General features: G+C 41.1%; 1 protein-coding gene and 1 long non-coding RNA gene across 35 annotated transcripts in view, besides 1 other annotated feature; one reads left to right on the top strand and one right to left on the bottom strand.

Moving 5' to 3' along the window:
* The window catches only part of MAST2 (microtubule associated serine/threonine kinase 2), a 232511-nt gene that overhangs the window by 109184 nt on the left and 99044 nt on the right, over positions 1–24283 (bottom strand). For 11 of the 32 annotated variants that reach the window (XM_011541059.3, XM_011541069.3, XM_011541061.3 and 8 more), the window contains one exon: positions 9406–9600. The exons of 15 other annotated variants lie outside the window; for them this stretch is intronic. In XM_011541059.3, coding sequence (XP_011539361.1) covers positions 9406–9600 — 195 coding nt within the window. Of the gene's footprint in view, positions 1–9405; positions 9601–13051; positions 13348–24283 lie in introns of those variants that run through there. 6 more of the 32 variants (XM_047450130.1, XM_005270655.4, XM_017000753.2 and 3 more) reach the window with 6 other exon arrangements.
* Positions 1328–1622: a silencer, noted in NCBI's record as "tiled region #5403; HepG2 Repressive non-DNase unmatched - State 23:Low". NCBI's record gives its function as "represses a minimal TATA promoter and a strong SV40 promoter by Sharpr-MPRA in HepG2 cells {active_cell/tissue: HepG2}" and the evidence as "EXISTENCE:reporter gene assay evidence [ECO:0000049][PMID:27701403]".
* The window catches only part of LOC105378694 (uncharacterized), a 41351-nt gene continuing 34772 nt past the window's right edge, over positions 17705–24283 (top strand). The window contains exon 1 of one of the 3 annotated variants that reach the window (XR_001738038.2): positions 17705–19992. This is a non-coding gene — a long non-coding RNA (uncharacterized LOC105378694). The remainder of the gene's footprint in view (positions 19993–24283) is intronic. The other 2 variants (XR_001738037.3, XR_007066060.1) reach the window with 2 other exon arrangements.

Raw genomic sequence — 24283 nt, 5'->3', positions numbered from 1 at the left:
TATCGGGACAGGTCCCCTGATAGGCAAGAGCAACCATTTGGCATCTAGCCATACAGGATTATATCTTCATTCAGGGTCACCTGGAGCCAGGGTCTATGAAAAACTATCTGTCGCATATAAGGGTTCCTGAAGTTAAAGCACAGCACTAGTCTTCATTATTTTACCTTTTCAATGAAAAAACAAAAAAAAAAAATCAAAAAACCTTCCCTACTCTAACAAGAGAATCACTTCTTCTGAAGATACTCTCAAGATGCGCTTTCCCTGCTGTAAGAGGAGAAATGAAATACCTTGAAACCGTTTTGATGGACTTTCCTCATTGCCAAAAAATGGTCTTTTAGAAAGAATGTAATTCAAAGTGTTTTTCATTTCAGTCCATGTCCTGCTGAGCCCCAACAGGCCAGTTTTCAGCAGAAACAATTAGTGAGAATGCATGAGAGGGCAGGAGGGCACCCAGCTGCCACTGCCTCACCTAAGCCAGTAATGGAGCTTCTGCAGTATGGACATATGGTAGGCAATATATCCAAGGGAAAATAAGAATATGAGAAAAGTAATAGAAGCAAAGAAAAAAGTAATGGAAGCAAAATGAAGTGCTAAGAATTAGCAACATCTGAGTCTCCCAACAATGGAAGCAGCAAAATAACCAGTCTAGCAGCCCAGGTAATATCTAAACAATTGTAGATGTACTGACTCACTTAATTCTTACTATAATCCTTGAAATACTATTGTGAGTCCCATTTTAATAATGAAGAGAACTGAGGTAGAAAGAAGTGAAGTAATCTGCCTACCACCACTATGCAGCAGGGCCAGGATAAGAACAAGTTCTGGGAGATGTTCCTCTTTTGAAATTACTCTGAAAAGCAGTTGTTTAAAAAAAGACAAGACAAGAAAAGCAGGTGTTGGTAAAATGAAAATAGTGCTTTCTCTTTGGCAGGAAATAATTTTGACACTACCAAAAAGGGGTTTCAAAGGTTGCCTAGTTCTGGAGGAGGCCCAAAGGAACACCTGTCCATTTGCCACGCAAGTCTACCAAAAGTCTCTCATACGTGTGACATAGGAGGTGCCAGAGAACTAAATTGGTACCACTGGATGAAAGCTTTGAGAGTGAACTGCTTGTTGCTGAAGATGTTCAAGCAAAGGCTGAATAGCTTTTTGCTAGACATTGTATGGAAGAAATTCCTATGCAGTAGGAAGCAAGATAAAGCTAGAATGCTTCCAATATAAAAATCACTCTAGTAAGGATTTCCTGCTGCAAGCCCTCCTACTTCAGGGCTGACAAAGTCTATGGCAATTCAAAACTGATTCAAAACCTAAGTCATTCTGTGTTCCATTAAGCTGTTAACATCAAACTTCTCTCTCCAGCAGGCCTACAGCTGGGCCAGTGAATAGCCAGAGACACAACTGCCTCCTCTCTTCAAGGACACCACTTACAACACAAAGTCAATCTAGCACTCTTACTCTAAAAATGCAACACCCCCATCTGAGTGCCAATCAATACTCTGGAATCATTTTCTTAGAAGACATGCAAATGGAGTAAAGGTTAGTGGTTATTTAATTTAACCCAAATCACAATGAAATTTATTATGCCTCTTAAGGTTCATCATACCCATCTGAGACACTTAAGAGCTAGCATCAACGTTTGTTTATAACAGACTCATTCCTTCCAATCAAGGCATAAAACGCAATGTATTACAGAGCTAGAGTGGGTATCATTTCAAGACTGTATCTTCATTGTCCTTCAAATTATTACGGGCAACAATTTGTAAGGTCCTAAGACCATCCCTAAGATACAGTCAATAAAGAGGCTTAAGACCTTAAGCAGGGCTAGTCCTCACTACACTATGATGCAAGGGGACACTGTTTTCCAACTCTGGGGCAATGCAGCCAAATGCCTCAATAGCTGTGTTGGTTTACTAGGGTTGCCATACATAACCAAGTATCACAAACTGGGTGACTTAACCAACAGAAATTTATTTCCTCATAGTTCAGGCTAGAAGTCCAAGATAAGGGCATTAGCAGGGTTGGTTTCTTCTATGACCTCATTCCTTGGATTCTAAATGGCTACCTCCCTTTGTCTTTGCATGGCCTTCCCTCTGTGCTTGTCTGTGTCCTAATCCCCTCTTCTCGTAAGGACACAAGTCATACTGGATTAGGATCTATCTCAAAGACTTCATTTAACCTTAATTGCCCCTTTAAAGATCCTGTCTCCAAATACAGTGACGTTCTGAGTTACTAGGGGTTAGGACTTCAACCTATACAAATTTTAGTAGAACATAATTCAGCCTATAATAGTTATACTCATCAAATTAAAAAAAGAGAGATAAAAAAGACATCCTAATATGGCCACTGACATGACTCTGGCTGCAGTGGGGTACAGGAGCAGGCTACGGGTCCTCAGGTGCAGATGCCAAGGTGGGCAGTCCCTGGAACCCGCCCCTGGAAGTCCCCCCTCCTAGTTCCCTCTCTTCTGGAACTCAGAGTCAAATTCACTGCCAGTAGCACTCAATTTTCAGTTCTTCACTTATGCACATTGTTTACTGGAACCATTTTTCTCATCTTTCTACTTTACTTGCTAATTTGCTTAATAAATTGAGTAAGAGAGGTTCATCATAAAGATGTTGCAGAATGGAGGTTCATCACCGTTTTCACTAAGCACAGATTCTGTTCTGGACTGTGAATTTGAGTACAGAGAACAAAACTAAATTAATAGATGACAGTAATGAGCAGGGGTAAAATGGAATGATACAGGCCTAAAAAAACAGAGGGATTTTTTTGCCGAGTGTGGTGGCTCATGCCTGTAATCCCAGCACTTTGGGAGGCTGAAGTGGGCAGGTCACTTGTCAGGAGTTTGAGACCAGCCTTGCCAACATGATGAAACCCAGTCTCTACTAAAAATACAAAAATTAGCCAGGTGTGGTGGCGGGTGTCTGTAATCCCAGCTACTGGGGAGGCTGAGGCAGGAGAATTGCTTGAAACTGGGAAGCAGAGGTTGCAGTAAGCCGAGATCATGCTACTGCACTCCAGCCTAGGTGACAGAGTGAGAACTTGTCTCAAAAAAAAGAACAGAGGTTTTTACAAGAAGGTAATAAAGGTAATGACCTAGAAGTGACAACAGACTGTGGGAATACCAATTCCCACCCCCAGGATTGGAGGATTTATTAAACAATGTTATTAATACATCACCTTGGGAAAAGACCCAAGGCTGCAAAAACTACTTTGGTTCAGAACGTATGATATTACATAATGAAAATATCTCAGATGGAGACATGGAACAGTGTGGTTGTTAAGAATGTGATCTCTGAAGCCAGACTACCCAGGTTTCTATCCCAGTTCTGCCACTTATACAGCTGTGTTATCCTGAGCAATTTATTTAATCTCTCTGCACCCTCGCTTCCTGTGTGAAATAAGTACAATGATAATCTCTCTCACAGAACTGGTGTGAGAAGCAAATGACCTTTACATTTTAAAGTGCTAAGAACAGTGCCTGGGAGCTAGTAAGTGCTCAGAGTTTGTAAATTTATTAAATAAATTCTCGATTGCATATGGTTCATCAGAAACATTACAGTGATGGCAGTGGCAGCCCGTCACTGCCATGAAGCAGTCACTGCCATGACGCCGGCTGCAGTGGGGTACAGATGCAGGACACGGGTCTTCCGGTGCAGACGCCAAGGTGGACAGTCCCTGGAACCCTCCTTTGGAAGCCCCCCTACAGGCCCACTGCCCTGGGAACCCACCCCTGGGAACTGCCACAATTGGGCCAGGCTGAGCTGAGCCGTCCGCCAGTGGGAGAGAAGTGCACAGAGGAACAGGCAGAGAGGGGCACTAGGGCAGAGCTGGGCCCAGGGTGGTCCCGTGCTTGCACATGGGGCACAGAGGTCTGGCCCGAGACACAGAGCTGGGGCCATGCTTCAGGGGCCCAGGGTAGGAAGTGAAAGCGGCACCCCACAGCAGCAAGTACAGCATGCCCACATTGTTCACCAGCCCCATGGAGCAGATCACCATGTAAACAACTGGCACGGTCACCACCAGGAGCACCAGACTCGATGCGTTGGAGCAGCCCAGCACCTGGCCCAGGACAATGCATCAGACCTGGAGCCCTTGCCCAAGACTGCTAGGAGATGGAGCTGGGGCTGCATGCTCTACAGAGTCGGTGGGAGCCAGGGAAAAGTGGGAGCCCCACCCCTTCCGAGTTGGTGGGGTGGGAGCCCCCCAGGTGCAGCCACCACCGCCCTGCTGCAGCTTCAGACCCAGGCATCTCTGAACTCTCGGGCCTAGGAAGGCCCCTGCCCCTCGCAGGCTCAGAATCGTCCGCTCCCGCTACCTGGCTTCTCCCCTCTGTCAGTGCCTACTCCAACCTCGGAGCAAAGTTGGGACCCAGCCCGGGAGCTGTCACAGCCCAGCTGAGTGTGCACATGCTCGGGGTAGTGCTGACATGCCAACCCCCTTGCCACTTTGGCCCCCTCCAGGCTTTGGGCACTGACAAGCATGGGAAGGAGGCTGAGGGGTGCACTGAGGACAGCCCAGTGCTGGCCTGCAGGCACCCCTTAGCATGAACAGCCTGGTCACCATGAACAGCAGCAGGAGGCAGACAGGCTCCTGGGTGGAGAGAAGCTGGTCCACAGTGAAGACCCACCTCCAAGCCAGGGAAAGCCTGAAGCCTGGGGGATGGGTCGCCAGTCCCAGAAACCGCAAGGGCAACTTGTGGTGCTTTTCCCTGGGCCCACCCATGGCCGCCCATGGACCAACCAGCATGCACTTCCTCCCCTCTGAGGCCCATAAAAGCCCCTGGACTCAGCCAGGCTTGGGGAGAGGAGGGAGGGACCATAGGGAGATAATGGGACCACCTGCCTGCAGAAAGGAGCCACCCACTCCAGGACCTCCTCTCTGCTGAGAGCTGAACACTCAACGGGAGGACCTGCCTACAGATAGGAGCTACCCACTGCGGGTCCCCTCTAAGCTATTATATCACTCAATAAAGTTCCCCTTTGTCTTGCTCACCCTATATTTGTCTGTGTACCTCATTCCTTTTGGATGCAGGACAAGAACTCGGGACCCACCGAATGGCAGGGCCAAAAGAGCTGTAATACAAACAGAGCTGAAACATGCCCCTTGCTCAACACATTGTGGGCGACAAGAAGGAGAGAAGAGAGAAGGAGAGAAGAGCTGCAGCCCTTTGGAGAGACCAGACCTGAGAGCTCCCCGAGCCTGAGCTGTGACTCCTGCTTTGGGGCCTGGTGGCTCCTAAAGTCTCCAAGTTTCTGGGCACCACCGCGTTCCCTTGTGCCAGCTGTGGAAGTTGCTTGCGTGGCGCCTGGTCCCGATGCAGCCTCACAGTGAGCTAGCACCCATGCCAGCCCTTGGAGCTAGCTGCCCTGCTGCAGCAGTTGGCATGCCTGACTGCGTGCAGTGGCCGGACCCTATGCTCACTTGCCACACACCCTTCACTATTCCGCTCCAGTCTCTTTGGAGGCATGGGATCCAGGCTGGTAGCTTGAGGCAAGTGCAGCCTGCTGGGCCAACTGGGCCCAGCAGGCCTGAGCAAACAAAGCTCAGGCAAAAGCGTCACCAGCCACAGAGGTTTCTAGCTAGAAAAGCAACACCTCCCAGGATCCCGTAACAACAGCTGAGGGGTTAAGACCACAGACATAGGCTGGGCACGGTGGCTCACACCTGTAATCCCAGCACTTTGGGAGTCCGAGGTGGGTGAATCACGAGGTCAGGGGTTTGAGACCAGCCTGACCAACGTGGTGAAACCCCGTCTCTACTAAAAATACAAAAATTAGCTGGGCGTGGTGGCGGTCGCCTGTAATCCTAGCTACTCAGGAGGCTGAGGCAGGAGAACTGCTTGAACCCGGGAGATGGAGCTTGCAGTGAGCCGAGATTGCGCCACTGCACTCCAGCCTGGGTGACAGAGTGAGACTCCGTCTCAAACAAACAAACAAACAAAAAACACCACAGACATTGGAGTAAGATACTGTGGGGTTGAATGGTAGTTTCTACTACTTATTAATAACTTCCTTAACTTCTCTGTACTACAGTGTCTTCATCTATAAAACAGATTTACTCAGATTATCCACCTCATCGAAAAAAAAATGAACATGTGTCACCCACCTCATCAGAGTATTTTGAGAATTAAATTTAACAAATGTAAGTCATTTTAAAAATGTTAAGACATAGTAAATGCTCAGCAAATGTTACCTATTCTTATTCTTTTGACATTACATTTTCCAACTTTTCTTGACTAAGGAAGATAAAATAATTTTAAAATAATCTGCTTCTATTGGGCTTATGCAACGTGAATCAGTCAACCAATAATCTCATAAAGCAATAAGAACAACTAATGACAGAAGCATGAGCTCAAAATATTAGCAAGACTAGACTTCTGCTTCTCATCATTATGGGGAATCAGAGATCAGATTTACCCTTGCACCTTAAAAACAAAAAAATTAGATGAAATATATGAAACAATAGTTTGCAGACACTGGACCGATGGGAAACATGCAAAATAAGCCCTAAGACTGCATGCCTAGGAAGCAGCAAAAGGGGGTACTCAAACAGAGTCCAGCAGTCTCCCTGAGTTGAGAAGACAGAGTTGAGAACTTGGGGAGGCTAAGGTGGCTAGAATTTTCAAAGCAGGGTACCAGAGAAGACAGATATACAGAGGGGAACTCTGGAGATCTGCAGGGGCTTCCTCTGAGTTTTTAGCTGAATATCTATCAGCATATGTGGATAAGGAAACTATCCAAGAACATGAGCAGGTACCCTCTTCAGGGCTCACTAAGGACCCAGAATCGTTCATGCTCCCATCAGCCTGAGTGGAAAAAACTCACAATACATGGGCATCAAATAGAGTACTCAAAGTATTGCCTCAGTAGTAAGAAAAAATTAGCCTCAAGTGCTGCCCTGGTCTCACCAAACAAAGCCTGAAAGTATTCCTTCAAAGGATCAAACAATTTCTAAATAACTGCATCCCAGATTCTCAAGAATGTTTAAAGGAATATAAAAATATCTAGCAAACAACAAGCTAAAATAATCTTGTCATATCAATGAACTGGCACTTTGCATGGCATGGATACAAAAGAAGAATGGAATGAAGCACTAATACAGTGACCACACATGTTAGTAAGTCTATGAAAAAAAAAAAAAAAAACATGAAATTTAACAAGCTCCAAAGCTGTAAGATGTTGCTCCAGGTTGTGTGTTCTGAGACCATAGTCATCAAGAGATACTCAAAACCATGTGCCAGGACTGGGTACATCTTGGGGGCTACCCAACTTACAATCTTTCTCAGCCTCATACGCCAAGCGCTAGTACGTCTAGAAGAGGTGCCTTCAGAGAGAAGTTAGCCTCTAACATTGTCCTATGTCAGTCTATCACTGTCCCAAACTGTCTGTGGAATTTAAGCTCCTGTATCAAATAATGTCACTTAAATCTGTGTGATACATTGTGTTTCACTTAAACTTTTAGTTTTTCAGGTTACTATTCTCTAACAAAAAGCTTAACAAATACCTACTGATCAATCACGCTTTCCTTTTTTAACATTTTTTTTTCAACTGGCTTCTAAGATACTTCTCCTAGTCCTTGTTCCTGAATGAATAGCTAATTCATTTTAGTCTAATTCCTCACTATCGCCCCAACCTCTAAAACTTGCCCCAGAGCTCAATCCTTGGATATCTCTTCCTCCTCTATCAATTCTACCTTTAAAATAATCCCCAAATCTGACCACTTCTTATCTGAATCATCATGGGTTCAAATAACCATTGTCTCTTACCTAGTGGCCTTCTAACTATAACCAGAGTGTGTTTTTTTGTTAGTTTTTGTTTTTTTGACAAGGTCTGGCTCCAAGGCTGGAGTGCAGTGGTATGATCTCAGCTCACTGCAACCTCCACCTCCCAGGCTCAAGCCATCCTCCCACCTCAGCCGCCAGAGTAGCAGGGATTACAGGTACGCGCCACCATGCCCAGCTAATTTTTGTATTTTTTGTAGAGATGGGGTTTCACCATGTTGCCCAGGCTGGTCTCGAACTTGTGAGTGGTCTTGAACTCAAGCAATCCGCTCACCTCGGCCTCCCAAACTGCTGGGATTACAGGTGTAAGCCACTGCGCCCAGCCCAGCGTGATCTTTTGATCTACGTCAGATCATGTCATTCTTATTTAAACCTTCCAGTGGCTACTTATCTCACCCAGCATAAAAACAAAAGTCCTGGCCAGTAGTGGTGGCTCATGCCTGTAATCCCAGTGCTTTGGGAGGCCGAGGCGGGTGGATAACCTGAGGTCAGGAGTCTGAGATCAGCCTGGTCAATATGGTGAAACCCTGTCTCTACCAAAAATACAAACATTAGCTGGGTGTGGGGGCAGCCGCCTGTAATCCCAGCTACTCGGGAGGCTGAGGCAGAAGAATCACTTAAACCTGGGAGGCAGAGTTGCAGTGAGGAGAGATTGTGCCATTGCACTCCAGCCTGGGTGACAAGAGCGAAACTCTATCTCAAAAAGCCTCAAAATTGTTTAATCTGGCTGCCCACTACACTTCAGGCCTCATTTCCCAATACTCACCACCTAACTTATTCTGTACCAGTATCACTGGACTCTGTTGCACAAAGAATACATGGAGCAAGCTCCTAGATCAGGCCCCTGGCACTTCATGTTGCCTCCACCTGGAACACTCTTCTTCCAGATATCTCCATTCAGGCTCTATGACTTCCTTCAGGTCTTTTATGTCAACTTACCACTGAGGACCTACCTGACCACCTTATATAAAATGTCAAGCCCTGGCCTCTACATTCTCTTATCCTACTTTATTTTTCTCAGAAGCACTGTCTATCCGTTATGTTACATATTTACTCATTAACTTGTCTCTCTTTCTCCACTAGAATCTAAGCTCCCTGAGGACAGGGATTTTATTGCTTTATGTTCACTGCTTTGTTTCCCATGCCCAAAACAGTGTCCTAGCAGATAGTACGTAATCAAATAATGTTGAATATAAGAAAAGGAAGACAGAAAGAAATGGGAGAAGGGCTATTTTCCTCAACCTGAACAAACCATTTAACTTGTTTTGGACTCAAATTTTCCCATCGTGTAAAATGTGAGGTTTGAACTTTTTTACCTCCTAAGAGTTCTAGCACTCTGCCATGCTATGGGGTGGTCACAGGTCATAGTTCACAAGGCTGTCCAATGGTCAGGATGGGCACACAACTTATAATAGCCTCAAAAATCCAAGTACTGATAACCTACCCTCCTTTCTCCTGACATTTTGAATACAACAGAAATCTGTGATATTTATTTTACTCTTCTCTGTGACAGAACCAAGACTCTTACTCCATTTCTCCCCATTATTAAGGAGTAAGGTATGCGTTTTACCATTTGGCCAGAAGCAATTGTCAAGGCCCAGATTCACAGCAAGTTTCCTTACCTCCACGGCAGTGGGCGGCTGGAACAAGGAGTGCCAGGACTGCTGTGGGCTCGTGGGTTCAGGAAAATGGCAAGAGGAGAAGTAGCCAAAGCACAATCAGCACTAAATGGGACTTTAGTGAGGAAGAGGGCTGGAGCAGATGTGGGTGAAAACATGTGCTGGTTTACTTCAGCTCCTCGGCAAAGGGTAGAGATTCTGACAAGGTACCACAATAGGAAAAAAACAAGGTCAGTGATAACTTTTCAACCAAAAAGAAACATATTCAAAGTGGCTTGGTTTAGGCAAAAAGCTCAAGAAAAGTAAGTGGTCAAAAATCATTCTCCAATATCATACTTCAGTACCAATGTTGGTACAGGATGACAACAGAGACAAAAACTTAATCCATAAAATTAAAATACAACATTTAAGATTTGGCTATTCAACATATTTGTTATTTATTTTTATTTTTATTTTTTGAGACAGAGTTTTGCTCTTGTTGCCCAGGCTAGAGTGCAATGGCACGATCTTGGCTCACTGCAACCTCTGCCTCCTGGGTTCAAGCGATTCTCCTGCCTCAGCCTCCCAAGTAGCTGGGATTACAGGCATGCACCACCACACCCAGCTAATTTTGTATTTTTAGTACAAACAGGGTTTCATCATGTTGGTCAGTCTGGTCTCGAACTCCTGACCTCGAGTGATCCACCCGCCTCGGCCTCCTAAAAGTGCTGGGATTACAGATGTAAGCCACCGTGCCCAGCCTGAAGTATTTAGAATTGGTTTCTGGGCAAACCAAACACTGCAAATTTACTACATCAATTAGCAGGCAACAGTTAATATTTAATATTCAATGACTAAAACTTCCTAAAGAAATGTATATGTCCCTAAGAGTAAAACATTCTGAATAGTTTATAAATTATTGATTATATCAACAATAATACCAATTTGTTTAGCTAACATTTCTCTAATGAATGTATCATATAATGTCAGTTAACTATGTATTTTGCTTCTACTTAAATTTTAGATTCCCAGGTTATTTTTTCCCATAAAAACAATCTAGCCATTTTGATATGTTAAGTCCTATCGAAGATTATTAAATAAATAAGATCATTAGATTGAAAACAGGTAATAAATAGATTTCTAATTTGCTACCATTAGTAGAAACGACACATGATAAAAATAATATTCATAATATTTAATTTGCTACCTTATTGGCATGGCTTTCTATACACACACCATTATTTAATTTCCAAGGTAAAAAAATTACTTAAGTATCACATAAGTACCTGATCTAATTCAAAATGATAACATTGTTAGTTTCTCGTATTGTTATTTCTGACTGTTTATAATATGGATACAGTGACATTCTACTTGTGCTTGCTTACATATATTCAAAGGAAATCTTCACTTTCCTAGTCATTATCACTCTAGTGGTCTTCAGTTTACTTCTCAGGTGGGTACACAATATGGGGTAGTAACAGGATAGAAAATAGGAGGGCACACAACTATTTAAAATTACAGTTATGCCCACATTTCCACAAACTCAACATTTTTTTAAAGTTAAAAGAAGTAAAAATGTTAATTTTAAGTTAATTTCTCATTTTCAAAAAGAATTTTCACTCTTCCAAAGAACTATTTCAAAGTTAAGCTCCTTCATATATATGTTAGAACTAATTAGAACATTAGACAGCACTTACTTGTTAACCTGAATAATATGCTTGTACAAAATTTTGAAGCCTTAAGTCTTATCACATAAAATGAGGTTTAGACATTTTGTTCAATATATAATTGAAATTATAAAAATCTATGAAAGCCAAACTTCATTTTCTTTCCTTTTTTTTTTTTTTTGAGACAGAGTCTCACTCTGTCACCCAGGCTGGAGTACAGTGGCGCCATCTCGGCTCACTGCAAGTTCCGCCTCCCAGGTTCACGCCATTCTCCTGCCTCAGCCTCCCGAGTAGCTGGGATTACAGGCGCCCGCCACCACGTCCGGCTAATTTTTTGTATTTTCAGTAGAGACAGAGTTTCACCGTGTTAGCCAGGATGGTCTCGATCTCCTGACCTCGTGATCCGCCCGCCTCGGCCTCCCAAAGTGCTGGGATTACTGGCGTAAGCCACCGCGCCTGGCCGGCAAATTTCATTTTCTTTTTGCCCCTAATTACTACTCTGCAAACTGGTTATACAATGGGTCTAGAGTCTAAAAAGGATTGTTTGAAACAGGAAAAGGTGATATACAAACTACTTATTAGCTCCTCAGGGGGTATTTTTCTAACTCAAAGTCAGTAAAACAGAGAAAATGATTACCAACAGCAGTGTACCCACATTTGAAGAGCATGATTTGCCAGGTATGGTAATCTCAGCACTCTAAGAGGCTGAGGCAAGAGGATCACTTGAGCTCAGGAGTTCCAGACCAGCCTGAGCAACATAGAGAGACCTTATTTCTACAAAAAAATTAAAAAATTAGCCAGGCTTGGTGGTGCATGCCTGTGGTCCCAGCTGCTGAGGTGGAAGGATCCCTTGGGCCCAGGAGGTCAAGGTTTAGTGAGCTGTGATAGCACCACTGCCCTCCCGCCTGGGCCATAAAGTAAGACACTCTCAAAAACAAAAACAGAACCATGATTTTTGACCATTTAAGTTTTCTTAAGCTACAAACTCCATTTAAAAATTTTTAATTTTGTTAACAAGTGACCTTTACTTTAAATAACACATTAGTTGATGAAGTCTGTTTTTAAATGGTCTTTTACTTCTGTGTCAGTATGGTAATAAAAGGTTTTTTTTAAAGTGTGTCAATACTACAACTATATACTTCAAACAAATCCTGTTTCTTAAGGTCTAATAGAATCATTAATTCAATCAATAAGCATCCACAGACACTGAAGGGCAACATCACAAAGGAAGCCCACTGAAGAAGCCTGTCTGTCTCAGGGCAAGCAGTTTGACTCAGGAAGAAAATCTGAAGTACACTCCCTTAGCCCTGTGGGTTAAACAAAGGCAGTTCAAGACAGATAATTGAGGTGAAATGAATTCTAGGTCTCTTCTTTCACTGGTTCTCTAATTTACTGATGAATTCACTTGGCACTTCTTCATTAAATAAGCCTGAGCTGCTCTTGGAAAAGTCACCCTGAAGAGGAAGCCTTCTTCCACTCCCAGCTTTGATATTCTCACCTAATAAAGTTTATTTCTATATTGGCCAATATAGAAATAAAATAGAGGTCACACCCTAAAGGACCCATGCTTGAATCTGCAAGGGCAGATCTGAGGTCCTGAGCTGACAGGCCATGGGCAGAAATACAATACCCTCTCTAGTCAAAGGAGGAGGTACTTTTTGTTTCCATTGGTTTCTCACATTCACGGGGTTTGTATTTGCAGCCTTGACACTAACTTTAAATAAACATTTGCTTTCAAGGGAAGAAAATAATTGTCTTCATTTTTTTACCCAGTTCTCCAAGTATTCAGGAACCCCTAAAATGACATCTAATTCAGTTTCTGGAATTGGAAACCTCATATGCCCCTGCCAAGGACCACTGTTTTGACCTTGAATTAATCAAGCCAGCTCAGCCCTCTTCCTGACAGGCATCTCCAAAACAGTCTTCATCCAAATGAACGAAGCTGTGTTAGTTGGCATTAGTTTTTTTTCCTGACATCTGCCAGTTTCCATAGAGACCCCAACCTCCTTACTGAATCCGCAGACATGGTGCTCCCAGTCTCTCTTGCCTCCGTTTCATCATTCTCCTGGCTACTCAAGTTTTGCCCTCACACTGGAGTCTTGGTAGGAAGTTCTCTCACACAAGGGGTATGCAGTTCTGTCAGCCAAAGGAAATTATAAAAGCTTCCCAAACTTACGGCAAAAATTAAAGTACTTTTCTTCAAAAACATGATCTTCAGAACACCCCTCCCATCCCCCCACAAAAGACCTAAGAGCCCACGAGGCAGCAGTGGGACAGTGACAAGTTCCAGATCCCAAATGAATCAGCTGTCCTCTGATCTGCCTGACATCATTCACACTCAGCCAGCAACAAATCAGAGCTACAGAAAGCACCTTGTTCCTGCGTCAGTGACAAGCACCAAACTCCCTCCCCCACAAATCAGTTGCAACCTCCAACCCTGAGGCCTGGCGGCAGTAAAAACTCTGGCAGAAATTATACATAGCAACTTGAAAACTCACACTGTGTCAGAAATACTATTAACCCAGAAGGCATGGGCCAGGCTAAACAGCTGTTGCAGTGGGCAAGGGACTGGAAGAAACTGGTAAAATAATGAGCGAAGACTATGTGGGCGTTTCTGCAGCATTATTCATTCTCAAACCCAAGCCTGAAGGAAGACTACAGGGCTTTAATGTTAGGGCTCAAAGCACAGTCATTATTCAAATGCCGAATCTGACCAACTTAACTAAACTGTACTCCTTCAGACAAAGTTCAGTGCCATTTTTTGTTCAATTTCTATTACTCTCTAATCATTCTTGTGGTAAGAAAAGCCATAAGGAAAGTTAAGAAAATAAGCCCAGAAACTAGCTTAATTTCATCCATTAATGTTTAAGGTAAGTTGCAGAAGACCTCTATTGAAGGGTAAGCTAAGCATACTTCTGTATGCTTTGGTTTCCCCACCTGTAAAATGAAGATCATTAAGGTACCTAATATATAGGTTGTGGTGAGGACTAATACATGTAAACAGCAAAGTGCCTAGCACAGAGAAAGCACTATAAAAGTGTTAGCTATTACTGTAAGTCTTGCCCTCTTGGAGCAATCTCCCAGTCTAAAGGAAGAGATTAGTCCCAACAAATAGGAAGACATCTGAGAAAAAGAACCTAGACTCAAGAAAACCAAGTGATCAAGTAAACTGTGGAGCTAAACCCTGGCAGCTAAGAGAGCCAAAGAGAAGCAAGTCTTGTCCCCTGCTTCAGCGGCTCTGCCAACTCTGAGGGGCTTCTCTCATTCACCTAGATGACAAAGCGTATCAAACTGTTTTTTCTAGGGTAATGTTCAAAGGACTAACTCATAGGCAAACCAGTGCTTTTTCAAATGTGGGTCACACCTCTTTAGTAAGACATTATATCAATTTAGGAAGTCAGGATCAACATTTTCTAAAAAGGGAAACTACCTGCACACAAAAAGTACATATACAAATGAAATAGAATAGAAAAGAAAATATTAGTCCTTCGCACACAGCAAGGGTAAGCACTGTTTTGTGAAATGTGTGTTTATGACATCCATTACTGAAATACATACAAATATACAAATGCGAACGTGTGTGATGGGTCATAATGTAAACTTTATTTGTTATTGAAGTCAAAGTCTAAAAAGTTTGAAAGCCACTGTTCTAATTACCCAAGCAAACTCACCCACCTAGTAGCCACAAGCCCTCACTTTTCCTCTCCATGTATTAGTCCAATTATTCAGCCCTCTCAGCACCCTCTTTTTTTCAGAATCCCCAGTTCAGTAGCAGGTCCTAAAGATAACTAGAACACCTTAGAAATCTAACAGTTCTCAACAAGTACTGGCTCCTACTTTGGAAAGCCTTGTGATGATATCAGGGTCAGTTGCCAAAAGCCCCAACCTTGGGTCTATCCTCCCATCCCCAGCTAAGGCTTGCAGTTATGGCTGAATCCTAAGTTTCTACTCAATATTCTCCAATTCTCTAATACCCGAGACCAGGCTACATAATAATAATAATAATAATAATAATAATAATAATAATAATAATAATATAACAATAATAATAATGACATAACAGCAACCAACATTTATTAAGTGCTTAACTATTAGGTTCTATTCTAAGCATTTTACACATTAATATTCATGTAGTACTCATCATAGCCATATGATATATGTACTATTATTCCATTATTATTATTTTTAAAATTATTATTATTTTTTAAAGACACAGAGAAGTTAAGATCATGCCAATGGTAAGTAGAAAAGTAGCATTTCCTCAATATGTTGGCACCTGGTTACCTATATATGAATTATACTAGCCAGAAGTGTCTTCAGCCAAGTTGGTAAACTGGAGCAGTCTAACTCAAGTTTCCAATGCTATAAATCACTGCGCTTTACCTTTCAGTAGAAATTTCTGACAACAGCAGCAAATGGATTCTTTCTAGCCTGCTCTGCATATATTGAAGAGCAGTACTATTGCAGAGCAGTACTCCTTGGGTGGAGGAGAGAGAACACGGAGCTCCTTAAATAATGCCAAAGTGAGAAAATATTTGTTTGATTTTTAGAGAATGAAAGCCATATTTTACATCCTTTATCTGACCAAAGAAGATATTACTTTTACCTCCAGGTAACACATCCCCACACAGAGTACTTTCTTTAGTGGCATTAGAATCCATTTGTGCCAATATTCCTGTGACTTTGCCAGGACTAGGAAGGCCTAACATTTCCCTGGGACTGGTGACAGGGCTCAATAATTTGCAGTATGGTGAAAGAAACACCTGCCTTCTCTTATTCATTCACACATTTATTTATTGACTGTAGAGCCAGAAGAAAGGCCTCTGCTATGGGCTTCTCACTTTAGAGATCCTGCAAAATAACACACACACACAAAACAAATTAATTAAAGAAATGGGGTTTCCTCTGTCACAAGATTCTGCACTGGCAAAGCAGAACCCTAAAAATCCATTCTTGCAAATTGTACAGTTCAGACCACAGGAAAACCTTTGTCCACATATTTCTTCCCATGTCCTTTAAAAGAGAGGCAACTATATCAGAACGCCATTTATGGGCTGTGAAACTGCAAACTTCAGAGAACTCTGCCTGAGATTATGAAATATTTGAGGAGCACAGGGTGTCAGAATAAAAGACAAGACAAATTAACTGTTATATCCTTCCTGTCAAATAACATCAATATCATAGATACCTTTCCTAAGAAAGTATTGTCTCCTAACAGAGTCAAACATCCATTTATTTGATTTCTTCCTGTTCCAATTCACAGTTCTGAAGGTACTCATAATTTAGCTCACTATTCCTAACAGTAGCACACAGCAATTGAGGAACATTTTGCAGAATTAAGGAATTCACATTACTAGTAAATGTATTTATATGCAGGTCTAGAAATGGCACATGTAAGGCAAGGAACCAATTTATTACACTGATAAATGGTTGAACAGTTAATGCTAGAATTACAATTTATTTTTATAAAAATATGTACTTACAAAAATTTTTAATTCAGCTTATTTAAATTAATTTTGAATATTTAAAAGAAAAATAACTTTTAAAAGAATAAAAAACTTCCATTTTTTACGCTTTATATTTTTGATGAGAATATATTCAAACTTTGTACTCTGTGGATATAACTACGTCTTATTTTTAAATCCTACAGATCACTGAAAATGAGTACGTTGTGATCCCAACATAGACAGAAAAATAAGACAGTGGAGCTTAGAAGAGGAAAAAGAGAAAATCTACAAATAAGCTAGTCTGCTTAAATTTGGGGAAAAAAAAAAAAAACAACTGCACACAAAAAGTACTTACACAATTACTATCACTGAAGATTGGAAACACAGAAAATAAACCAGAGTATTCAAAAAAGACAAGTAGCTGGGCACAGTGGCTCATGCCTGTAATCCCAGCACTTTGGGAGGCCGAGGCAGGCAGATCTCTTGAGCCCAGGAACTCGAGACCAGCCTGGCTGAGGCAGGAGAATCACTTGAACCCGGGAGGCGGAGGTTGCAGGGAGCCGAGACGGCACCACTGCACTCCAGCCTGGTCGACAGAGCGAGACTGTCTTCAAAAAAGAAAAGAAAGGGCCAGGTGGGGTGGCTCACGCCTGTAATCCCAGCACTTTGGGAGGCAAAAGTGGGTGGATCACGAGGTCAAGAGATCAAGACCATCCTGGTCAACATGGTGAACCCCCGTCTCTACTAAAAATACAAAAATTAGCTGGGCGTGGGGGCGCATGCCTGTAGTCCTAGCCACTTGGCAGGCTGAGGTAGAAGAATCACTTGAACCCAGGAGGGGGAGGTTGCAGTGAATTGACCACACCACTGCACTCCAGCCTGGCGACAGAGCCAGACTCTGTCTCCAAAAAGAAGGAAAAAAAAAAAAAGACGATATAGAATGATGGTGTGATTGTTCTTAAAAGCATAATATTATATATACAATATTTAGCCAGATTCCCCTCTCCTCCGATGGTTTAAAAATAGTCACAGAAAACAATGGAAAATTTATAGGTTTAACGTAAATGATATTGAAAAGTAACGTTAAAATGGCTGCACATATAAGAATGATTTTTAAAATGATAAAACAGTCACTGCCTATGATAAAGCCTTAAATGAAATTATTTATTTAACTGATAATAAAGTGAGAAAAAGATACCTAACTTTTTTAAGTAAATATTATTCAGTTCTATAGATTATAACAGGGACAAAAGTCATGTTAAACAACAAACTTTACATACTGTCGAGTTACCTAAAGAAGAAAACAAGAAAGTAGAAATAAATGAGAATTTTATAGCTTTACATTTGATGTAAAAAGTACACGCTTTGTCTTCAGTGAGAACTAAAGAAAAAAAGTTTCGATTTTAGGCAGGGACCTAAAGATTGGCAAACTTCCACCTGTAACTATGACATTACCGAAAGAGAACTAGCCATTCTACTACAAATTACCATAAGAATAGACAAAATATACAATGTAATAGTTTTCAGGCACTGGGACACATGTAATGCAAGAAAGAAAACCCAGAAAGAAGGGAAACTCAAAAGTCAGGCTGCTCCCTCCTCAGCTGCCTGGGAGCAATTTTCTTACAAGGGCAGACAGCTAGAGTTCAAGCAGAGCACAGTAGTTCCACTAAGCTGAGGAGGCATGGGCTAGAGTTCAGGTAAGCTAATCAAGCAGACATTGCATGTTCACCAAGAAAGACCACATGCTAGGCCATAAAAAAAGTCTCAAGAAATTTCAAAATATTGAAATTCCATAAATTATGCTGTCTAACCACAACAGAATTAAATTAGAAATCAACTACAATAAAATATAAAATCTTCCAATATTTGGAAACGAAACCACATATTTCTAAATAATCTATTGGTCAAAGATGAAATGACAAAGAAAATTAGAAAATATTTTGAATTACACTATAATAAAGACACACACACCAAATTATGGAATACAGTTAAAGGAGTGCTTAGAGGCACATATATAGCTTTAAATGCTTATATCAAAAAAGGAAGACCTGAAATCACTAATCCATACCTCTGCATTAAAAACTTTAAAAAGTCCAGGGAGGGATAGCATTGGGAGAAATACCTAATGTAGATTATGGGTTGATGGGTGCAGCAAACCACCATGGCATGTGTATACCTATGTAACAAACCTGTACGTTCTGCACATGTATCCCAGAACTTAAAGTATAATAAAAAACAATTTAAAAAAACTTAAAAGTAAATTAAATTCAAAATATAATAAAGAAAAGAAAGCAGAAATTAGGAACAGAAAATAAAAAAATTAACAAAACCAAAAATTGGTTCTTTGACAATATTAATAAAATTAATAAAACCACAGTAATAGACATCAAGAAGAAAAGGAGAGAAAACATAAATCATCAATATCAGAAATAAAAGATGAGTTATCACAACAAATCTAAAGACAGCAAAAGAATAATAAGAGAATAGCAGGAACAATTTATGCCAATACATTCTATAACTTATTTAAAATAGACAAAAAGTTCAAAAAATAACTTACCAAAACTGACTTTAATATAGATGTGCATTATGCTAAGTGACATAAGCCAGACACAAATGAACAATACTATATGATTCCACTGATATGAAGTATTTAGAAGAGGCAAATGCATAGAAAAAGAAAGTAGAACAGAGACTGCCAAGGCCTGGGGTAAGGGAAGAAGGGTGTTACTGCTTAATGGGCACAGAGTTTCTACCTGGGACCATGGAAAAGTTTTAGAAATAGATGGTGACAACAGTTGCATGACATTGTGAATATAGTTAATGTCATTACATTGTATACTTAAAAATGGTTAAAATGCCAGAAGTTGAGGCACAAGAATTGCTTGAATTTGGGAGGCAGAGGCTGCAGTGAGCTGAGATCACGCCACTGCACAGCCTGGGTGATAAGAGCGAGACTCTCTCAAAAAAAAAAAAAAAAGTTAAAATGGCAAATTTTGTTATATATACCTTGCCATAATTTTTAAGACTTTAAAGAAATTAATTCAAAAGGAGTTAAGATTCAAACATAAAAGCTAAAATTACAAACTTCTAGAAGAAAACATTGGAGAAAATCTTCATGATCTTGGGATGGGCACAGATTTCTTGGACAGAATGAGTGAGTACTAACTATAAAAACTCACAAAGAACATCAAAATTAAGACCTTCTGCTCTCTGAAAGACATCCTTCCAAAAAGGAAAAGACAAGCTGGAGAAAAATAAGTCACAATATATATAGTGATGCATCACTTAACAACAGAGATACCTTCTGAGAAATGCATTGTTAGGCGATTTCATCATTATGTGAACATCATGGAGTATACCTGCATAAACCTAGATGGTATAGCCTACCACACACATAGGCTATATGGTATTGTATAGCCTATAGACTGCTTCCAGGCCGCAAACCTGTATAGCATGTTACTGCATTGAATACTGTAAGCAACTGTAACACAATGGTAAGTATTTGTGCATTTAAACATAAAAAAGGTACAGTAAAAATACATGTAAAAGATAGAAATGGTACACTTGTATAGGGCACTTACCATGAGTGGGGTTTGCATGACTAGAACTTGCTCTGGGTGACTGAGTGAGTGGTGAGTAAATGTAAAGATCTAGCACATTACTGTCTACTACTGTAGACTTTATAGAAACATTGTATGCTTGGGCTACACTATTTAATATTGCATAATAACATTATATAAACATATAATATAATTATTATATGTTACAAACTTATATAATTATATATTATATAATTGTATCATATAAAATAACATATAATATAATTATATAATAACAATAATATATACAACATTATATAATAATAACATATAAACATTGTACACTTAGGCTACATTATTTTTTTAACAATAAATTAATCTTAGCTTACTGTAACATTTTCACCTTAAATTCTTTAAGTTTTAACTTTACCCTTAAAACACATATTGTACTGCTCCACAAAAATATTTTTGTTCTCTACATCTGCAGGCTATAGGCTGTTTTTTATTTTTAAATTTTAAATTTATTATTTCTTTTTAAATGTTTTTGCCAAAAATGAAGACACAAACATACACTTTAGCCTAAGTGTACACAGGGTCAGGATCATCAAGATGTCACTTTCAGCTCCTTTATAATCTTATGGGATCACCAGTGTCTATGCAGTCTGTTGTTGACCAAAACATTGCATGGTATTGCATGACTATATATATCTGACAAAATATCTGCATCTGAAATATATAAATAACTTGTACAACTCAGTAATTTTTTATTCTTTTTTTCAAAATAAGCAAAATATCTGAACACATTTCACAAAAGATTCACAAATGGCAAATAAGGACAGGAAAAACATATTCACCATCATTATTCATCTGGGAAATGTAAGTCAAAACCACAATGATATACCAGTATACACTCAATAAAATGGCTCAAATCTGATCATAACAAGTTTTGATGTGGACGTGGGCCAACTGGAACCCTCGACATCCCTAGTAGGAAAGTACAACAGTATAAACATTTTGGAAAATTATGTGGCAATTTTTTAGAAACTTAAACATACACTTACCAGTTACCATTTGATGGGGGTTAGGGGTAGTATCCTAAATCTAAGTTTGGCATTTTTTTTTTTTTGAGACAGAGTCTTGCTCTGTCTCCCAGGCTGCAGTGCAGTGGCGCGATCTCAGCTCACTGCAAGCTCCGCCTCCTGGGTTCACGCCATTCTCCTGCCTCAGCCTCCCAAGTAGCTGGGACTGCAGGTGCCCGCCACCATGCCCAGCTAATTTTTTGTGTTTTTAGTAGAGACGGGGTTTCACTGTGTTAGCCAGGATGGTCTCAAACTCCTGAGCTCGTGATCCGCGCCTTGGCCTCCAAAAGTGCTGAGATTATAGGCGTGAGCCACCGCGCACAGCCGGCTCTTTCATTTTTTAAAAGATTAAACATGCCTATAATCCCAGCACTTTGGGAGGCCAAGACGGGCAGATCACTTGAAGTCAGGAGTTCGAGACCAGCCTGACAAACATGGTGAAATCCAGTCTCTACTAAAAATACAAAAAAATTAGCCAGATGCGGTGGCGCATGCCTGTACTCCCAGCTACTTGGGATACTGAGGCAGAGGAATCACTTGAACACTTGAACCTGGGAGGTGGAGGTTGCAGTGAGCTGAGATGGTGCCACTGCATTCCAGCCTGAGTGACACAGCAAGACTCTGCCTCAAAAAAAAAAAAAAAAAAAAGATTAAACATATTTTAGTCAAAAGGGTTTTCATGTACCAGATACTACAACAAAAGTAACTTTGTGACCAGGTGCGCTGGCTCATGCCTACAATCCCAGAACTTTGGGAGGCCAAGGCAGGAGGATCACTTGAGCTCAGGAGTATGAGACCAAGATGAGCAACATAGGGAGATCACCTATTTATAATAAAGTTAAAAAAAATTAGCCAGGCATGATGGCATGTCCCTGTGGTCCCAGCTACTTGAGAGTCTGAGGTGGGGGACTCACTTGAACCCGGGAGGCTGAGGTTGCAGTGAGCCATGATCACACCACTACACTCCAGCCTGGGCAACAGAGCAAGGCCTCTCTCTCAAAAAAAGTGGCATTGCAATAAAATACACAAAAACTAAAAGCAAGAAAATGACAGTCTGGGTTGGGTGCGGTGGCTCGTGCCTGTAATCCTAGCACTCTGGGAGGCCAAGCAGGGTGGATCACTTGAACTCAGGAGTTTGAGACCAGCTTGGGCAATATGGCAAAATCCCATCTTTACAAAAAATACAAAAATTAGCTGGGTATGGTGGCATGTGTCTATAGTCCCAGCTACTTGGGGGGGCTAAGGTAGGAGTACTGCTTGAGCCCAGTTCAAGGCTGCAGTGAGCTGTGATTGCGCGAATGCACCCCAGCCTAGGCAACATAGCCAGACCCTGCCTAAAAAAAATTTAAGGCCGGACACGGTGGCTCATGCCTGTAATCTCAGCACATTGGGAGGCCAAGGCAGGTGGATCGCCTGAAGTCAGGAGTTCTAGATCAGCCTGGCCAACATGGTAAAACCACACCTCTACTAAAAATATAAAAATTAACCGGGCATGGTGGCAGGCGCCTGTAATCCCAGCTACTCAGGGGGCTGAGGCAGGAGAATCGCTTGAATCTGGGAGGCAGAGGTTGGCAGTGAGCTGAGATCACGCCATCACACTCCAGCCTGGGGGACAAGAGTAAGCCTTCGTCTCAAAAAAAAAAAAAAATTAAAAATTAGCTGGGTGCAGTGGCACACACCTATAGTCCCAGCTACTAGGGAGGCTGAGGTGGGAGGATCACTTGAGACCAGGAGTTTAAGATTGCAATGAGCTATGATACTGCTACTGCATTCCAGCTTAGCCAACTGAGACCCTGTGTCTAAACAAATAAATAAGCAAATAAGCAAGCAAGAACATAGGAAAAGTGGACTTTCATGATGTATTAGTTTTCTATTGCATAACAAATTAGCAAAAACTTAGCCACCTAAAACAATACACATTTACTATCTCACAGTTTCTGATTCAGGAATTCAAGCACAGCTTAGCTGGGTCCTTGCTTAGGGTCTCTTAAAGCTGCAAGCAAGGTGTCACCTGGGCTATGTTTTCATATGGAGACCCGATTCAGGAAGAATCCACTTCTAAACTCATTCTCATGTGCACACAGAACATTCTCTAAAATTGACCACATGTTCGGTCATAAAGCTAGTCTCAATAAATTTTTCAAAAATAAAAATCATATCAACCATCTTCTCAGACCTCATGGAATAAAATTAGAAATCAACATCAAGAGGAACTCTCAAAACCACACAAGTACATGGAAACTAAACAATTTGCTCCCGAATGACTTTACAGTAAACAATGAGATTAAGGCAGAAATCAAAAAATGTTTTGAAATAAATGAAAATAGAGACACAACATACCAAAACCTCTAGAATACAACAAAAGCAGTGTTTAGACTGCTAAGTTAAGTTTAGGCCAGGCACAGTGGCTCATGCCTGTAATCCCAGCACTTTGGGAGGCCAAGGCGGGAGGATTGCCTGAGCTCAGGAGTTTGAGACCAGCCTGGGCAACATGGTGAAACCCTGTCTCTACTAAAAATACAAAAATTAGCCAGGCATGGTGGTAAGTGTCTGTAATCCCAGCTACTCAAGAGGCTGAGGCAGAAGAATTGCTTGAGCCTGGGAGGCAGAGGTTGCAGTAAGCCGAGATCACGCCACTGCATCCAGCCTGGGCGACAGAGTGAGACTCTGTCTCCAAAAAAAAAAAAAAAAAAAAAGACAAAAATTTATAGTGCTAAATGCTTAACATCAAAAAGAAAGATCTCAATTAACAACCTAACATCATAGCTAAAGAAACTAGAAAAGCAAAAACAAGCCAAACCCAAATCTAGCTGAAGAAAAGAAATAAAGATCAGGGCAGAACTAAATGATATTGAGACCAAAAATATGACATAAAGGAGCAACAAAACAAAAAGTGGGTTATTTCAAAGGATAAACAAAACTGTTAAACTGCTAGGTAGATTAACCAAGAAAAGAGAAGATTTAAATAAGCACAATCAGAAATGACAAAAGTGGCATTACAACTGATATCACAGAAACACAAAAGCTCCTCAGAGACTACTATAACATCTCTATGAGCATAAACCAGAGAAACCTAGAAGACATGAATAAATTCCTCAAAACACACAAACTCTTAAGAATGAACCAGGAAGAAATGGAAATCCTGAACAGACCAATAATGAGCTATA

The sequence above is a fragment of the Homo sapiens genome, chromosome 1 (genome assembly GCF_000001405.40).
Source record: "Homo sapiens chromosome 1, GRCh38.p14 Primary Assembly".
Lineage (NCBI taxonomy): Eukaryota > Metazoa > Chordata > Mammalia > Primates > Hominidae > Homo > Homo sapiens.
Note: the sequence above shows the minus strand (reverse complement) of the source record. Positions and strands in the feature narration are given on the sequence as shown.